The 18,920-nt window shown below is 61.7% G+C and overlaps 1 protein-coding gene across 9 annotated transcripts in view, besides 1 other annotated feature; it reads right to left on the bottom strand.

Annotated features, from left to right (window-relative positions):
- The window catches only part of KCNT1 (potassium sodium-activated channel subfamily T member 1), a 93,318-nt gene that overhangs the window by 48,880 nt on the left and 25,518 nt on the right, over window positions 1-18,920 (bottom strand). The window contains exon 1 of one of the 9 annotated variants that reach the window (XM_011518880.2): window positions 9,836-10,010. The exons of 4 other annotated variants lie outside the window; for them this stretch is intronic. In XM_011518880.2, the coding sequence (XP_011517182.1) occupies window positions 9,836-9,990 (155 nt within the window). In that variant the 5' untranslated portion in view covers window positions 9,991-10,010. Of the gene's footprint in view, window positions 1-2,521; window positions 2,816-9,604; window positions 9,627-9,835; window positions 10,011-18,920 lie in introns of those variants that run through there. 4 more of the 9 variants (XM_024447618.2, XM_017014933.2, XM_017014931.2 and 1 more) reach the window with 4 other exon arrangements.
- Window positions 17,625-18,562: an enhancer, noted in NCBI's record as "H3K4me1 hESC enhancer chr9:138619907-138620844 (GRCh37/hg19 assembly coordinates)". NCBI's record gives its function as "activates a minimal SCP1, AML or CMV promoter by ChIP-STARR-seq in naive H9 embryonic stem cells {active_cell/tissue: H9 hESC(naive)}" and the evidence as "EXISTENCE:reporter gene assay evidence [ECO:0000049][PMID:30033119]".

Below are 18,920 nucleotides of genomic sequence, written 5' to 3'. Positions count from 1 at the left end.
TTGGGCCTCTGCAGCTGCCTGGCAAGACCACGAAGCCAATGCGTCCCCCTGGGCTCCCCTTGGCCTCCACAGCCAGGAAACAGAGAGATGCAACCCTGCCCATTGCCAGGACCTCACTGGCTTCCGGACAGCCAAGTTCCTCCCCAGACACCGTGGGGTCGAGGGCTGCTGGTCTGGGACTAGTCGCGCCCCCAGCAGCTTCTCTTTGAGGCCCCTTGACCTCCTCCTGGCACCCCAGAAACAAGAGCACTGAGCCCCCCTTAGGGAGAGAGCCCAGCCAGACCCTGGTCCCCTCACCGAGGGGCTGTGGGCCCCAATCTGGGTAGCCCCCACGGAGCTCAGCGGGGAGTGCCCACCTGCACAGATGGCACCCTCCACGTGGAGGCAGAGAAACGCTGGGGCCTGGCAGACTCCCTGAGAAACTGGAGCCTGCGATGCCAGAGACATTAATGAAGCCTCCTCTGCTTTTAATTTTTAATGAACTGTGGCCGCCCACTTCTCCGAGCACCACCACAAAAAGGAGATGAAAACGATCCATTTTCCCCTGCAGTGTATTTCAGGTGACTGGTGCGATCTGTCTTCACGAGTCACGCAGCGGCACCTGGGGAGGGAGCCTGTGGCTGCAGAGGCCTGGCTGGGGTCAGCTCTAGGCCGACCCGGCTGGGGTAGACCCGCCTGGTGGTTCCTGCCAGAGTGGCCCAAGCCTCCTTGCTGCGGCAGAGGTTCATGGACACTGGTAGCCTGGAGGGCTCCGCTAGCTCCTCAGAGTCACAGCATGCTCCCGGCCCGGCAGCCAGAGGCCCAGGGCTGAGACCCAGTGAGCCCTGTGAGGCTACACGGGCCCTGCCGCTCCTCTGCCCGGCTGTTCCCCTCCACCTGCCAGCGCCTGGGCCTCCTCCCTGGGGAATGGGAACCAGGACAGGGACCAACTCCCGGCGTGTCCCGAGGACAGCAGACAGGTGGAGGAGCTCTGTCTGTGCTGAGATAGAAACAATGGCCTCTGTGTCCCAGGCTTCTCTTGGGACGACGCCCTTGCTCACAGGCTCCATTGAGAGGCTGCCCCGGTGCTCATCTGGGGGCCAGCACCCGTCTGCTCAAACCATCAGGACCCACGTCAGCCAAAAGAGACAGCGCAGGCCTTCGACTCACCGTGGCTCCCAGGCTATGAAGCCACAGGTGTGGACCACGGGCAGAGGCGGGACCCCGGGTGGGGCCACACTCTCCGCTTCCTGTCAGGGCCCGGCCGGTGGGAAAGCAGGGGACCCGCTCATGGCAAGTTGCTCCCAGGAGCTGGGCGTGGGCTCGGTGGAACGCCCTGAGAGGTGGGAGATGACCGAGAACTCCCGTGGGGAGCCGCCCACAGGGCTAGGAAGAACCTGCCTGTGAACGCAGGCTCCCAGGACAATAGGCAAGGACGGGGCAGAAGAATCTACTTCCTGTGTCCATTCTCATCCACTCATCAGTTCACTCATTTGTTTATCTGGCAAACAGCAAGTGAGCGCTCATGGCGGCATCCGTCTGGGAACATCGCCATTCCCAGAGTCCACACCCGGCAGCGGGTGCTGCATTCCCGGATCCCCGGCCACGGGTCCCGACCCCCACCCTGGGAGGCGGGCTCAGGGCGCAGCCACACACTCGCCACAGGGGGCCGGGCCCGTCTCACCTCTGCCAGTCTGCATTTCGGCTGGTGGGGAGGACGGGGCACACCAGGGACCGCCACTGCCCACGGCCTACAGCCCAGGAGCAAGACGCAGGGCCGGTGAGACTCATGGGCATGTGCGGGCAGGCCTGGCCAGGGGGTCCCAGACACAGCAGGGAGCCTCAGACAGTCCCTTGTGTACCCCCTGGGGTGAGGCCTTGGTCCCTGAGGAATCCACAGGCCAAACCCTGGCCCTGGCCCTGGCCCTGGGAGAGCCGTCAGCGGCGCTGGCCCATGGCGAACAACTTGTCCCTGGCACCGTGAGGACAGGCAGCTCCTGGCCAGCCCCGTCCCTACACGGCTGAAGCCCGCTGTAGCCCCCCGAGGCTCCCCGAGGCCCACGCTTGCCCCAGTCACTCAGCAGGTCAGAGGCAGTGCCAGGCCTGGGTCCTTGGGGCTCCCTGTAGCGGCAGCAGGGGAGTCTGTCCCCAGGTGGCGGCTCTGCCCCAGTCCTGCAAGGCTGGTGTTGAGCCAGGCCTGGGCCCCGCGTGTACCCATGCCCACTGCCTGCCTGTGCCCAGGGGCTCACGCCACTGCTCTGCCTGAGGAGGCCCTTGTGCTGCAAAGGGGCTCTCATGGTGCCCACCCCCACACCAAGACGGGACCCTCTGAGGCAAGTGCCGGCCGCCCTGTGACAAATGGGGTCGGCAGAGGCCGGCAACAGTTCTCCCTGCTGACCGGCAGGCCAGCTGCAGGCTGGGGGACTGGCCTTCCAGGGATTCCTGGCAGGTAGTCATACACAGATGGCCATGCCGGGAAGCTCCACACCAGCTCCAGGCTGTCAGGCACACGCCTCGGGGCCCACCATAGCCCTGCACTCACATGGGGCCGAGGTCCGAGCTGCCTCTCTCTGGCAGTGGCTGGGTGCCGGCTGGCTCTTAGGCAGGTGCCTGGGAGCTCCACGCAGGCCTCTGCCCCCAGCACCAGGCAGGCAGGCAGGAAGAAAGGGCAGGCTTCAGGCCCACTGCCAACCCTGGGGCCAGCTATTCTGAGCCTGGACAGAGCATCTGATACGCCCAAGGGCCCAGAAAGGGCACACACATGTCTCCGTCCCCCTGGGGTCCCTGTTTTGACACCCTTGGGCCTCTGGGGCCCCCCCATAGCTTGGCCAGGGGCCCAGGTGAGGCTGGCTCAGGGCTGAAGGGTGAGTCCAGCTGGGCCTCCAAAGGTCCAGGAACATCGGCTGTGTCCAGACCGTGCCACGGCGGCACACACTATAGCCTCGGCTGCAGACGCATCCATTTCCTCCACAGGTCTGAGACCCGACTCCTCGGGAGCCTGGGGTGGGGCCAGGAGAACCCTGGGTGGTGGGCACGGCTTCTATCTCACACCCGTCACCCTCTGCACCATGGGGCCCCAGGCTGGGAAGATAGAGGTCCGGTGGTGGCCACTGGCCTCCCAGCCTCCAGGACTCTTTTGGGATAATAATAGGTCCCACCATGGGTGCCGGGCAGCCCCTGGATGCTCAACAGCCGTGAGTGCTGAGTGCTCGGTGGTTTCTGCTGCTGGTGCCGTGCATGGAACAGTAAGCCTGGGGCCCCTCCTGGAGACCGCGCTGAAGGTGGATGGCAGCGGGGGGCTTCCCAGGAGTGCGCAGGGCCTGGCTGCCCTGGCCTCAAAGCCTCTTCCATTTGACCTACATCTTAGCTGAAGTCAGGAAGCACCACCGGCAGAGCCCCGGCGGCTCAGTGGGGAGTGGCACAGCCTCCGAGAGCGCATCCCAGCTCCTGGGAGCTCGACCGGCACAGGCAGCCAAGGTGGGCTGAGCCAGAGCCCAGGCCCCAGCAGCTGCCTGCCTGCCTGTCCCTGGGAGGCACCATGACAAGGGCCCCTGCTCTGCCATCCGCCTCTCCTGAGGCTGCGGACCACCCACCTCTGGGGAGCCCATTTCCCAAGTTCAGGCTCCTCTCCAAGGGGGCACACTGACTGTCCTGTCTCCAGCCCCAGCACCTGGGACCCAGAGGCACCAGCGGGTACTGGGAGGTGCCGGTGGCCCTGGCCCAGCTGCAGGGGATGCTGGGTTGAGGGGACCCCCCAGAAACAAGGGCTCTCACACCTCTAAGAGCCCTTGTCTGCCACCAAGACAGTTCCTCCCTTGCAAAGCACTTACTGAGACAGGGAGGAGTCCAGGCTGAAATCTTCTACAGGAAGCCTGGGGACACAGAGGGGCATCAACCAGAATGCGGGAGACAGATGGACAGATGGAGAAGGCAGCAGACAGATAGACGGACGGATGGAGAAGGCAGTAGACAGACAGATGGAGAGCCTGGGCTCTGGGACCAGGCGGGGCACAGACACGCAGGGAGGCTCTGGGGGGCCCGGACCTTTGGCGCCCCCGGGCACGGGAGAGGTGCCTGTGGGAGGCAGTCCATGTGCAGAGCCATGTGGGGGCACTGAGCCAAGCCTGGCCCCCTCAGGGCCCGAGAAAGCAGCACAGCCCGCTTGGAGGTCCCCGCGCATGCACCCTCCTGTGCCTGGGCCAGATGGGGGGGTGACAACCACACTCGAGGAGAGGGCCACCCTTCAGCCACGCAAGCAGGTGACGATGCTTTGGGCACTCGCCCTGGCCCTGCTCAGCACGAAGCCAGCCCAGGCCCCATGTGTGGTCCCCAGCATCCAGAAGCGAGCGCGGTGAGCTCCACCTCATGCCGAGGTCTGCGAGGCTGTCCCCTTGTCTCCACTCCCCTGCCCTACACCCAGACCAGCGGGTGAGGCACCCGCCAGCCCTGCCCCAAGGCTCCCTGCGATAGGACAAGCCAGGGCTCAGAGCTGATGCCTCTCAGGGGACCTGGACACACCACCCTCCACCACGCCAGCAGCCACACACCTGCTACCCCTTCAGCCTGGCCCCAGGCAACCTGGCCCCAGTTGTCCCAGACTGGCCAGCAGGCGGCTGACACCAAGGTGGTTGCAACCTGCACTGGATTCGGAACTCGGAGAGAGAGGCTGATGGGAGCTGAGGGCTCCAGAGGGCCGGCCTGGTCGGGGGCTGGGCAGGGTGGGAGTGCCGAGGGTCTTTGCCTTCACTGACTATGTGCCTGTCCTGGACCAGCTCCTCCTCAAAGGACTTCAGAGGGACCTCTCTCTTTTAATCCTCAAAACAACCATGTTTTCAGAAAAGAAAACAAAGGTTCAGAGAGGACCACAGTCTTCTGAGGCCACACAGGCAGGAAGGAGGAAGCCAGCCTGGGGTCACAGGCACACGCTCATCGGCCTACGCCAGGCTCTCCGGGTGGGCAGGTGCCCTCCTGGTGCCCCTAGCCCTAGCAGCTTCTGGTCCCTGGGGGAGGCAGAAGCTGGACACACCCCTGGGAGGGCCGAGGTCCTGGCTGGGCATGGTGGCCGGGCCAGCAGCTCCACACGGAGCAGGCAGAACCCCAGGCTTAATGGGGCTGATCTTTGGGTTTGCTGGGAGCTTCTGGCAGATTCTGCGTGTTTGTCCGGCTCAGCTTCCCTCTCGCTGGACCCTGGTGCTGCCTGAAGCTCTGAGCCAGGGCAACAGCCGTGTCAGAGGCTGGCAGGAGCCTGGCAGTGCCTCAGCCCATGGCAGCGGGTCTGCCTGGCCTGTGGGTCAGGTCCGGCGTGGCCAGGCCCTGGCTGGGCTCCTCCCTGCTGGGGCCCACTGTGTCCTCTCTCCCAGGTGCTCCCTGGCCGCGTCCCTCTGCATCTCCCGATATAGCCCTAGCTGAGTGTCTACTGAGCTGCGCATGGGGCCTCCCATCTACTCTGCCCAAGGCCCTGTTGTCTGAGTGTTGAGGAAGCCACCACCTGTCAGATGTCCCACAGCCTGAGGCCCAGGACAGCCGTCCCCACTGATTTTGGAAGGGGCCACCAAGCACATGGGTAGAGGATCCACCCAGGGACTCCCAAGGGGAGGGCAGCGGCCTGTGGGCAAAGGGACCTGGGGCTTTGCTGGCCTGTGCAGAACCTGGCTGAGGACTGGAGCTCTGTGCAAACAAGGTCTGTCGGCTGCACAAACCCTGCCAAGTGAACTGCAGGGTGAGGGGTGGGAGGGGAGGGGAGGGGAGCTGAGGAAGCTCGGCCTCTATCCGCAGCATCCAAACCCACGGTGGTCCAGGAGGACCCTGATGCTCGCCTGTCCCAGCGGTTGGTGGCCTGGGTGCCACTCAGCATCTCTGCCAGCCCTAACTTAGCTGTTGGGACCAAGTGGTGAGGGCCTCATCCCTGGGCCCACCCACCTCCCATGGCCAGGCTCGCTGTCAACACACGAACAGAACCTGCACCCGAAGCCGTCACCTCCCTCCCAGGAGAGGGTCTCAGCCCTGCTTAGGGCAGCAGTGGTCAGTGGAAGGATCTGGGCTTAGCCCTGCTTCCCTGCTGTGTCCTGCAGAGCCTGGGGCTGGGGTCGGGAAGGAGCCCAGGTGAGGAGGGGCCATCCCCACTTGACTTGTGCCCATAAGGAGCAGTCTCAGCTGCCAGCCTCGAGAGGGAGGGACCCTCTGGGCTCTCTAGGAGCCCCTCTGGGCTGACTGGGGGAAGAGTGGAGTGTCCCTCTGCACCCCACAACCCCAAGTCCCATAAGATGCTTTGGGGAAGAGGGGGTTCCCTGCTTGGGGGAGTTTGGGAGCCTCTGTTCTAAACCTGGGGAATGCCCAGAGCACAGCCAGGTCCCGGCAGGTTCCCACACGCAACAAAGGCACCCCCTTATCTCGGGCGGAGTTTTGTGCCCCCAGGCTAACATGCTGAAGTCCTGACCCCCAGTATCTCAGCACGTGGCTATGTTTGGAGACGAGGCCTTTAAAGCGGTCATTAAGGTAAAGTGAGGCCATGAGGGTGGGCCCTAATCCCACAAAACTGGTGTCCTTATAAGAAGAGATGAGGACACAGACACACATAGCGGGACGGCCAGGAGAGGACACAGGGAGAAGATGGTGTCTACGAGCCAAGGGGAGGGGCCTCAGGAGGAACCAGCCCTGCCCACATCTTGAGCTCAGACTTCCAGCCTCCAGGACTGTGAGACAATAAATGAGGTGTGGGCCCAGCAAACACCCCTGAAAGACAGGGCCTGGTGTCCCCCGAGGGCCTGGGAACACAGCCCCACCCCTGCGGCTGGGCACTCCCTGTGCACGCTCCTGGGTCAAGGATAAACCAGCCGCCCAAACAGGTGCATTCTAGGGTGGGGGAGAAAGAGCGCAGAGCACTGTGTGGAAAGAAGGTGTGCAGCCCGGAGCGGGGCAAAGCCAGAGGAGGGCGGGGGCACCTCAGGGGTGACGGGACCATACTCAGGAGGGGCCCTCCTGGGAGAGAGGCCATCTGGGGCAAGCTCCAAGGGGGGCTTCAGGCCCAGGGGAAGGGGTGTGCCGAGCCGGTGTGAACACCATGAAGAGGGTGGGGCGCCGGGCGTGTGCCCGGGGTGAGGGGGGCATGGAGGAGCAGCCAGGTTCTTGGAGAGGAGAGGGGCAACCATGAAGGTCTGGATCTGCAGGGGAGGGAGGTCCTGGCAAGGGTGTCCGGGGTCGGGGGGCTCAGGGGACCATCTCCTGAGCCAAGGAACATCAGGGCGAGGGGCTTGGGGCGGGGCCGGGGCTCTGCGTGCCACAGCTGGACTGACAGACCTGTGGCTGCCATAGACACTGGGGTGCTGGGCACAGTGGCAGGAGAACTGGACCACGCTAGACCTCAGGCTGTGTGGGGGCCTCAGGCTTGCTCCCTGGGGTCAAAGAGAGGTGCCCCACCTCCCTCAGGGATGGTGTGGGGGCAGAACACGCAGTCCAGGTGAGCTCCTCAGCATGGGCCCCCTGCCCAGTGCAGTGCTAGGGCCAGAAGAGTAGGATGGGGCTGGGGGAACGGCCCCGGAGAGGATGTGGGGAGGGGGCTGTGTTGGTGCCTTAAGTCAGGCATGAGGCTGGGAGACCCCAGCTGGGAGGGGCAAGGCCGCCTAGGTCCAGGGGTGGTAGGGACACAGAGGGGCTCAGGGCCTCCTGATGCAGCGGGGTCTCACTGAGAGGCCCTGTCCCCCCATTGGGCACTTTTACTCAAAAGCTTTGCAGTGATGGTCTCCTGACCCCACCACTGAAGCCACGCTGTCTAATCAGCTCCCAATCCCTCCCCAGCCTCACACAGGGGAGTGAGAAGGAAGGAGGAGACCCCGGAGCTCAGGGTCAGGGGAGCTGGACTGTGTGGGAGGAGGGACAGAGGCCAGCCTGCAGCACCCATAAGTGGGCACAGGGTGTTAGGGGAGCTCTGGGCAGGGGCACCAGGAGCAAGTGCCCTCCCCCGACAACGCCTCCTGTGGCTCAGTCCCTGGTGGGCAGTGGAGACCTCTCCTCTGCTTCACTGTCTTCTCAACAATGAGACGGGCAGAGTCTGAGAGGGCTGAGGGAGCCGGGACCCTGGCTGGCCCATGAAGGCAGCTCAGGCCTGCAGGATGAGGCAGCTGCGGGCACTGCGACCCCCAGCTCCCTGGGGCAGACCACACCTGCCTCTCGGCTCTGGCCTCGCCTGTGTTTTCCGTGAGATCCACACTCCAGAAGAACAAACCTACCAAGTCCTCTGCTCAGGAGCCTGCCCTACTCATCTCAGCGCGAGCCCTGTTGTATGAATGCTCCAGGCCCAGGGGCTGCTCAGCCCAGCTGGGCAGCAGCTCCATTACCTCTGCTCTGCAAAAGGAGGCTATAAGGACTCTGCACCTCAGGGGCTGCCGGGGGATGAGCGAGGCCACCCATGTGAAACCGTCAGCACAGTGCATAGCCCACAGGGCTGGGATGAACATGCGGGAGGGCTTCCTGGAGGAGGTGGGCCTAGGCTACAGCTCCCATGCTGCACTGCACTGCGGGCTCAGACGCAGCCTGGGCAGAACCTGCTATCCCTATGGGCCCTGCAGGAACAGGGATGGGGCAAGGAACCTGCCCCTTGAGGGCTGGCTGTAGCAGGGCTTCCAGGATCACTGCCCTCCCCCTTCCCCCCACGCCAGCATCCAGGAAGAGGAGGGGGAGGGGACTGTGGTCCCCAGGGCCTTGGCCAGTGCTCGCCTCCCTGGCGGAGGCTGCCCATTAGCTGCAGGAGGCTGCAGCCAGGTGCTTGACCTTAGCCTCAACCGCCTCTTCTGCAAATGGGACTAAGCTGGGCAGTGCCCCCCCAGGGCTGCTGTGAAGAGCTAGAAATGGGGGTGCCGGGAGGGGCCCAACAGCCCACAGCCAGGTAGGAGGGGTAAGGGAGAGGCTCCTGGGCACCCTTGGCCCTGCCATCTGCCAGGCCCTGCTCTGCCAGCCCTGCCCCCCAGCCCTGATGAAACTTCAGCCCTCACTGCTTCCGCTACCTGGAAGGCCCCTGCCCATCTCCCCATGCTTGTCCCGGAAGGACCAGCACCCCAGGAGTCCCCGGCTCTTCTGTCCCGGCCTGGCCTGCACCTCTCTCTCCCAGGAACAGGTTCCGTGCCCACGACATGTGCCCACACCAGGCCAGGTCTGATTCATCCTCATTTCCCCCGCAGCATCTAGAACGGCTCCTGGCACGGGAAAGGTGCTGGCTAGGAATTTGCTGCTGCAGATGAGGCCTTGGTGTCCTCATCCGTGAAATGGGGGTGCTGTGTCCCACCCTGAGCTTGCGGAAGAGCCAAGGAGGGGTAGGCGCTGCTCCACCTGCCCAACCATCCCCAGAGGACGGCCACCTGCACCCCTCCTGCCACAAGCACCAGACACCAGCCCAAGCATACCCCACAGCAGGGCTCCCCAGGCAGCCTGAGCCCTGTGTCCCAGCCCTGACCTGCTGTGCAGGCTTCGGCCTCACTCACCTCTGGGGTGGGGACACGGATGCCGGCCCTGTCTCCCCCAAAGTGGCGCTGGCACCAACAAGATCGGGGCTCCTGTGGGACAGGGCTCGGGCAGGGGCCCCCAGTGCCTGGCACAGAGCTGGGTCCACTTCCTCCCTCCCCTGCAGTCTCACCTGCAGCCCCGCCGTGTTCAGCCCCTACGTGGGGGGAGTGGGGGGTCCCGCAGGCTCTCAAAGGCTGGAGACACGGCAGGAAGCAGGGCGCTGTGGTGGGCTTAGGAGGGGAGACCCTGGCCTCCCCCCTTCCCCGGGCTGCAGGCAACGCAGGTGCAGCCCAGCCAGCGCAGCCCGAGCAGGATGCAAGCGCGATTTGACAAGCGGGGTCCCAGGCCCGCGCGCCCCTACCTCTGGCCCACGTCGCTGCCCACGGAGCCCCCGCCGCGGGCCGGCAGCAGCGGGCTGAGCCCGTGAGGCTCCTCGGGGGCTGCGGCGCCGGCTGGGGCGCCCCCCGGGCCCGCCTTGCCCTCGGACGGCGAGCGCGGCAGCTTGGCCCGCGCCATCCTGCGGGAGCGCTCGGCGCGGCGGGCGGCGGGCGGCGGGCAGCGGGGGCGGCGCCGGGCGGAACCATCTCAGCTCGCGCCGCGCCCTCCCCACGCCGCCGCGCAGTGGAACGGCCGGGTGCCGGGGCTGGGGGGCTGGGGAGGGCGGGGAGGACTGCCCGGCTCAAACCACCGCCAGGACGCCCCATGGAGAAGGTTCAAGCACCCGGTGGCCCTGCGGCTGCTTTGGCAGAAGCCAAGCAATGGTAACAATGACAGTCGCGCACGGGGGGAGGGGAGGAGCCGCGAGGGCTGGTGGCCCTGGGCGCCCACCCCGGGCGGCAGATGCTGGAGAGGAGCCGGAGTCCCGCTTGGCAGGGCAGGGCCCTCCAGCCGGCCTGCGGACCAGGCCTGGCGCTCAGGATGGCCTGCCCAAGCTGTGCCCACCCCTAGCCCCCAGCCCTGGTGTGGGGTGGGTGTAGTACCCTGGCCAGGGGGGTGATGGCTGAGTTTGCCTGTCCTCACCAGGGTCCTCACCCCCCAATTCCTACCTCCAAAGCTGTCAGGGCACAGCCCATGGGGGCACTCCGGGATGGTGCCTGTATGCCAGGCTGGGCACCGGGCACAGATCCCACCTGTGTGTGTGCAGCGCTGGTCTGCCCCAGATGCCTGGCTGGGCCCGCACATCTCACATGATGTGGCTTTTGTAACCGTTCCCTTCCATGTCACAGACGCGGCTCCAGGTGACTCGCCCAGGTGACAGGCAGGTAACAGCCGGGGGGTATTGGCACCGGGAGGCCCAGCTGCCCCGAAGCCAGCTCGGTAGAGGCAGGAGGCTGTCAGATGCGCCCCTGTCCTCAGCAGTGCCGGGTGGCAGAGCCCTCCGGACTTGTCCACGCTCTGACCCCAGACCTGGAGTCCTTGCAAGCCAGGGATCTGTCTCTATTTCTTCCCCCAACCAACAGCCAGGGCCCAGTGAGTACAGAGGCCTGTGGGAGGCAGGTGGGCCTAGGACCCCCTGACAGCACCAACTCCAGGGAGTGGGCCGGCCCGCCCCAAACTCACACCAGAAGCCCTCCCGGAGCCGGCTGCCTGTTCCCCCACCCTGAATCCCCCCACCCTTGGCTGGACGGTTTCTGACCTCACTAGGCCTCCATGCACCCGTGCCACAGGGGCCTGGGTGGCCAACGCGGATGGGGTGGGGGTAAAACTCCAGCGGCAGGTCCCTGACAGGCAGCACAGGCTTCCATTTCTTCAGCACCCATGCTGAGGGAGGGCTGGACCACTCGAGGGAGGCTGAGGCACAGGGCCCTGCTCCCTCTGGGGGTCCAAACGCTGAGCCGCCATCATGCTCAGAAAATGACCAACTCACTGGCGCTCCCGATACCTGCCCTAGCGCCCTCCCCGATGTGGCTGAGTAAGGAAAATCCCCTGAAAAGCCACTGTGTGTGGTCTGAGCACACGCTCCTATGCATGTCGCCCTGGCTGCCTGTCGTGGCTCGGGTCTACCCCAGGGGAGAGCGCTGTTTGTACCTGCAAAGCACGAGTACCCTCTGCCAGCCCCTGGTGTTGGGGAGCACCAGCAGATGGAAGCCCCCTTCAACCCTCCTGTGGAGTGCCCCAGAACGGCTGTAAAGAATGAGGCTGGGCTCTTCTCCTGGGCGTGCTGCTGAGTGAGCCCCATGCTGTGCTGTGAGTAAACAGACCAGGCGGAGCCCCGCACCACCCCTGGGCGCCGCCTGCAGGGCCCTTCACCGCGCCATGACTGCACAAAGGGCCGATGGACATCAGGGCTGCCCATACATGGTCACCCTGGGGCGGGGAGGAAGCTGGGAGGGAGGGTGCCTGGGCTGCGGATGCGGCTCGCTCACATTCCCTGGGAACGAACCCACAGCCCACCGCAGTGCTGGAGGAAGCCTCACGCAGGAGGCAAACGCGCGCGCCCACCCGGGGCGGCTGCTCCATGATGCAGTGCTGTGACTTTTTCCGTTCCTGCTTTTCGAGAGTGCAGTGGGTCTTCACTTACTCGTGGCCTTTGAAGTACAGGATGAGAGTTATGTGACAAGAGAACATCTGTGCCGTGTTGTCCATGGAGTGCCCACAGCCGGCTGCAGCAGGTGCCGCCTGGGGTGCGGGGAGGGGAGGAGGATCTTCGCAACTTGCTGCTGTACCACGTCTGAAGTTTGATTTATTTTGAAATGACTGTCTATGTTTGTCACAGAAAGTCCAGTGAGATGATTCCCATGTGGGAAGGACAATACCTTCGGCATCGAGCAGCAGTCCCAGAAGCCCCCTTTCCTGGCCTCAGGGCACCAGGACGGGTGCAGGGCCCATGGCTGGAGCCAGGCACGGAGGGGAAGGTGGGCTGGGGCCCCAGGCTCGGGGTCCACAGAGCCACGTGAGCCTTGAGGTGTCCCCAGCACTTTCTGCTCCCATGGAGCCTGGAGAGGCTCGACCCTATGGCTACACAGGGGCAGACATCCTGGAAACTCAGGAAAAAATAACAACTGCCCTTTTAGAGAGCACACAGACGCTGTGGTTCAAACGTGTCTCCAAGAGCCCTGCAGAGAGGGTGGGGCCTCGCTTTGCCTACCGCGAGCTGAGTGGGACTGCGGGCTGGACAGAGGACAGGGGACCAGGTGGATCCAAGGTGTGTTTTGAAGGTGGCACTGGCTAGACTTCCTGAAGGACTAGGGGGGAGGGACAGCGCCCAGGCTGGGGGGAGGGAACAGGCAGGTGGTGACACCCCAAGGTGGGGAAGACAAAAGGAGCAGGCGGGGGGTGGATTATGACACCCATTCTGGACATTCTCAAAGTGCCTGCCAGGTGACATCTCGTGGGTGGGCACCCACGCCTGGTGCTATGGGGGGCTGCCAGTCTGAGACTGTCAGTCTGAGACCCATCTGGGTCTCCGGCTCAGCAGTGGGATCTGAAGCCCCAAACTAGCTGGGGTCACCTCGGTGGAGTGGTACAGCCTGAAACTGGCCAAGTGGGAGAGGAGTGCAGGGCTGGGCAGTGTGACATTTACAGATGTGAGGGCAGGTGTGGGGGCAGGTGCAAAGGCAGGTGTGGGGGCAGGTGTGAGGGCAGGTGTGGGGGCAGGTGCAGGGGCAGGTATGGGGGGCAGTTGTGGGGGCAGGTGTGAGGCAGGTGTGGGGGCGGGTGTGAGGGCGGGTGTGGGGGCAGGTGTGGGGGCGGGTGTGGGGGCGGGTGTGGGGGCAGGTGTGAGGGCAGTTGGGGCAGGTGCAGGGGCAGGTATGGGGGGCAGTTGTGGGGGCAGGTATGAAGGCAGGTGTGGGGGCAGGTGTGAGGGCAGGTGTGGGGGCAGGTGTGCTGGCAGGTGTGGGGGGAGGTGCAGGGGCAGGTGTGGGGGGCAGGTGTGAGGGCAGTTGTGGGGCAGGTGCAGGGGCAGGTATGGGGGGCAGTTGTGGGGGCAGGTGTGAAGGCAGGTGTGGGGGCAGGTGCGGGGGCAGGTATGAGGGCTGCACTAACCCAGGACAACAAACAAGCATAGTAAGAACTGGAGATGAATGACTCAGAGCCGACAAGGAGAGGGCAGGTCAGCATCACAGACCTCCTGGAGGGTGTCCAGGGGAGTCACAGAGGAGGTACAGGCGGTGCTGCTCCCCACACTGCTCCTGTCTTCTGAGTCCAAACTGGGAGTGCCGGAATCCTCACCCTTAGCCCTCATCAGGAGGCAACCAGGGGGTGTGTCCTGACTTTGGTCACTGTCTGGCTGGGGAGACACCAGGGCTGACCCTTGGACTGAGGTGAGACCTCTTGATTGCCCCCAGTGGGAGAAGGGCATGGAGCCCCAGGAAGGAGGGAAGGAAGAAGGAAAGGAAGGAAGGGAGAAAAAAGAGAAGAGAGAGAGAATGAGAGAGAGAGAGAGAGAGAGAGAGATAGGTTGGACTTCAGCAGACAAAGAACCCGGCCAACAATAAAACAAAACCCAGAGAAGAAGGAAGTTCCCCAGGAGGAATTTGGGCACTGTGTCAACTTGATAAGGACAAGGTGCAATGGAAGCCACACTCGAAGATGAGATGAGCCTGTTCATCTCAGCAGCCAGTGGCAGAGGGGGAGACCACAGAACTCCAGAAGCAAGCGGAGAGCCCACACGCCATACAGTTATGACTCAATGAGCCCAAGCCAGGAGGAACAGGAGAGGCATGGCTGAAATTGGATTATAGACACAGATGGCTGGCTCTGACCAGCACAGCAAAGGCACAACAAGATCCAGGCACCGGAGGAAGGGTGAGGACACTTCCACTGGAGGATTGCTTGTACCCCTGGGTAGAAGCCTCAACTAGTTTTTGGTATTTAAAATATATTTGAAGCCAGTTGCGGTGGCTCATGCCTGTAATCCCAGCACTTTGGGAGGCTGAGGCGGGCAGATCACCTGAGGTCAGGAGTTCAACACCAGCCTAACCAACAAGGTGAAACCCCATCTCTACTAAAAATACAAAAATTAGCTGGACGTGGTGGTGGGCACCTGTAATCCCAGCTACTGGGGAGGCTGAGGCAGGAGAATCTCGAACCTGGGAGGCGGAGGTTGCAGTGAGCTGAAATATCATGCCACTGCACTCCAGCCTGGATGACAGAGTGAGACTCCCTCTCTCTCTCTCTCTCTCTCTCTCTCTCTCTCTCTCTCTCTCTCTCTCTATATATATATATATATATATATATATATATACACGCATATTTGAAAAGTATTTAGATATGTGATGATGAAGCAAAGAAAGAACTGTGCACGGAGTCCCAGGAAAACAAGACACAGGATGCATTCCATCCAGATATGGCTCCTACTCCACCTCCTCAGCTGAGGGTAAAGAAGATTCTGCAGGTGCACAAGACAGAACCAGTGAGTCACTACGAAGGGGGTGAAGTGAGCTGGCTGCAGATTTTCTGCAGTGAACTAAGCACCAGAGGATGACGGTCCCATGCTGATCAAGTTCTAATGGGAAAAAATGAGGTCTAGGACTATTATACCCAGCCAAAATGTCACTCGAGTCTAGAGACACAGGGGCGATGTCCTCCAACGCAAAGGAACGTGAGAGAACGCGGCACAAATGCACACGCCCTTGTTGGGAGAAAAACAACCACAGCCACCTCAAAGATGAAATGAAGCTGCTAAAAGAAATGCCAAAGAAAGAATTCCAGCGTGAAGAAGCCGTATGAAAGGGTGGGTGGGCAGCGGGAAGCCCACTGAGGTGGCTACAGAGCGTTAGAGAATTACACAAAATATGGTTATAGAACAGGTAAGCATTTAAACCTTGGTGGAGTAAAAACAATGATAAAATTAGTAACATTGTGGGTATGCAGGACACTGTGATCCAAAATGAAGACACGCCAGGCGACTGAGATTCTAACGCGAGCCGCGCTGAAAGACCCATCCCCAGAGAATGACTGACTCAGGGCAGGGAAGGTTCGAGAGTGTGGAAAATCTAGTTTTGCTAGAGAACAAGGAAGTTGCAAAGAGGAATGGGGTCATGTCCAAGGGTACGGAAGCCAGTGGGAAGGGCTCCCATTGGCCAAAGTGGAGGCGGTGGGATCTCAGAGGGGACAATGATTCAAACATGGCGTGTGGGCTTCCTGCTGCTGTGGTTACAAATGACCACAAATTCAATTGCTAAACCACACTTTTTTTTTTTTTTTTTTTTTTTACCTTGAGACGGGATCTCACTTTGTTGCCCAGGCTGGAGTGCAGTGGCATGAACATCGCTCACTGCAGCCTGGACCTCCTGGGCTCAAGTGATCCTCCTGCCTCAGCTTCCCAAGTAGCTGGGACTACAGGCATGCACCACCATGCTCGGCTAAGTTTTGTATTTTTTGTAGAGACAGGGTTTTGCCATGTTGCCCAGGCTGGTCTGGAACTCCTGAGCTCGAGAGATCTGCCTGCCTTGGCCTCCCAAAGTGCTGAGATTTCAGGTGTGAGCCACCGTACCCGGCCAACACAAGTGTTTTAAGCACACCATCCCGGAGGTCCGAAATCCCAAGCCTGAAGTGCCGGCAGGGCTGGCTCCTTCTGGAGTCCCAGGGAGGGGTCCATTTCCTTGCCTCTTCCAGCTTCCGGTGACCACCACCCTCCCCGGCTGGGCCCCTCCTCCCATCGCTCCAGTCCTTGCTTCCCCTGCTCATCTCCTTCTCCAGCGACTCTGAACCTCTGCCTCCCTCCCCTAGGAATCTGTGATGATCTTGGCTCACCCAGATCATCCACGATAATTTCCCATCTTCAAGGCCCTCCACTTAATCATATCTGCTAATCCCCCTCACCACGTGTGGTCCCCCTCGCCACGCATGGTTACATAGTCATGGGTTTCTGGGATCAGGACATGGACATCTTCAGGGGAGCATTATTTGGCCCACCACACACGGCAGGTCCACGGAACTCCATGGGTCCACACCTGATGCTCCGAAGGGGGAGTCCAGGGAACCCCTTTCCTTGTTGTCGCCACTAGAGGCTGCAATTCAACACTGCCTTACTGTGAAAATCTGTCATTAAAGAGAAAGGGTCGAGGGTGTTTCCAGCAGGAATTATATTTGGGGGTGCACAGCTCCCATGGATGAAGGATCAGCACAGTGCAGAGGAGAATGTGGGTAACGCTGATGGAGGGAGGAAGAGAAAAAGGCAGCCTGCACCTCCCAGGTCCCAGTGGAAGGACAGGCTTGGGAAGGGCCTTCAGAGGGGGCCAAGAGCCACAGAGGGAACACTGGGTGCTCGTAAAGCCACAGGCCACCTTGAGGTGACCAGGGGGAAGTACCTGCCCAGTGGTGGGGTTGGGCTGGCCCCAGCAGGTCCATCAGGCCATCTTTGACACGGGCAACCAGGACCTGAGGCCACACGCAGACACCAAGGGCACGTGCAACATTTTCAAGCCTCGATCAAGTAAGCTCTGTCCAGCAGGCCTGCAGACCCAACTTCCACTTTGCAAAAAATACTGGAGGCAGAAGAACAAGCTGAACCACCCACAGAGAGGCCACCGGACACGTGCAGACGGTGGAAACTTCTGCAGGACGAGAGGCCTGGTGTACGTGCTACCTCTGTTGCGTAACGAACCACCACCAGCCTGGAAGCTCACAGCAGCACCCACTTATCACTTCTCAGTTCTGTAGGGTAGAAGTCTGCGCACAGCTGAGCTTGGTTTTCTGCAGAGGGTCCCATGAGGCTGAGACGGAGGCATCCGCAGGGCTGGGCCCGCATCTGGAGCCCAGCAGGAATCTGCTCCCAGGCTCATTCCCGCCATCTGCGGAATCCCCTCCTGCACAGTGGGACAGAGGACCCCCTTTCTTGCTGGCCGCTGGCAGGGGGTTGCTCTCAGCTCCCCAGGGCCACCTCCTTCCTTGGCATATGCCCTCATCTCTAAAGCAAGTACAGATGTGTTCAGTTCCCTGCTGCCTCCAGTCACTTCACCTCTTCCACTGCCAGCCAGAGGAAACGCTGCTTTCAGAGGGCACGTGTGAGTAGACGCAGCCCACTCGGATAATCGCCCTTTGATTAATTCAAATTCAACTGCTCAGCGAACTTAATTATATCTCCCGTGTATACCTGTCTCCCCATTCCTCCTTTGTATAAAGAGGGGCCTTAGTCCTATTGAATTAGGGCCCAACTGAATGACCTCATTTCACCTTAATTACCTCTAAAGAACCAATTTCCAAATACAGTCATAGTCTAAGGTACCATGGGTTGGGGCTTTGATATATAAATCTTGGGGGACACAGTTCAATCCCGAACACCATGTCACGTGACAATCGTGGTGTGATGTCTCAGATTCACAATCCCGGGGGTAGGGTGGGAAATCCTGGGGGACCCGCCTGGTGGGAGCTGTTCCAGATTAAAAAGGGGTTTGTGAATCACCATAACCAGACCCGGCAAAACACTCCTGGATTGAGCTCACCAGCTGCTGAGCACATGCCGGGGCCGCTGGGGAGATGTCTCTCCAAGCTGGGCTTGGGCTGCCCCTCTCCCAGGACCCCTGCCCGGCCCTCTCCCCTTCCCAGCCCGTGGCTGCGGCCCTCACTCTCCGGCCCCCGGCTCTCTGCCCCTCCGTGGGCATGGCCTTGGCCTCCCTGAGTTCTGGGGAGATGCCTCCCACTTCCTGTTCCCCCGGAACAGGGCGTGAGTCTTGGGAGACCTAATCAGGGCCTCCTGAAATCTGGGCTTTTCCCAGGCAGGCCGTGGGTGGCTGTTACATCCGCAGTGAGGCTGTGGGGGTCTCACTTCCCAAGGAGGGGCCTGCGGGTGGCTTGGCCGCTGGCTCTTTTCTGCCCCACATAGAAACCAGGTGAATCTGCCCCGATGTTCTCCCTCCAAACAATTATGCGATTTCCTGGTGTCGGGGTGTCCTGGGGCTGCCATAACAAAGTACCACAGCGGGGGGCTTGAAGCAACAGTTCTGGAGGCCAGAGTTGGACATCAGTGTCCCTGGGCTGAAGTCCAGTGTCACAAGGCTACGCTTCCTTGGAGGCCCTAGGGAGGGTCCTTCCTGCCTCTTCCAACTTCTGGGGACTCCAGGCACCCCTCGGCGGTGGCCACATCACTCCAGTCTCTGCCCCCGCCTTCACACGGCCATCTCCTTCTGCCTGTTAATCTTTTTCTTTTTTGAGTTTTCTTAAGGCAAGCTTGTTTTTGTAGTAAATGTGCATAACACAAATATTGCCATTTTAACCCTCTTTGCCGCCCTCTTTTAAGGACTTTGTGACTGCGTTTTGGGCCAGGATGGCCTCCCCACTGCAACATCTTTCCCTCACTCGCCTTTTTAGAGCCCTGCACAGCAGGTCCCAGTCCCAGGCTGCAGATTGGGACGGTCAGTCAGGATGGTCATCCTTCGGCTGCTCTGAGAAGGGCCCTGGCACAGACCCACGCTCTCTGGATGGTCCTTTGCTCCCCTGTGGGCCCCACCTCTGTCCGGAGAATCCAGGCCAGCGAGTGGGGGCTGGAGGAGCAGTACCCA

Source organism: Homo sapiens, chromosome 9 (assembly GCF_000001405.40).
Source record: "Homo sapiens chromosome 9, GRCh38.p14 Primary Assembly".
NCBI classification, from domain to species: Eukaryota; Metazoa; Chordata; class Mammalia; order Primates; family Hominidae; genus Homo; species Homo sapiens.
Note: the sequence above shows the minus strand (reverse complement) of the source record. Positions and strands in the feature narration are given on the sequence as shown.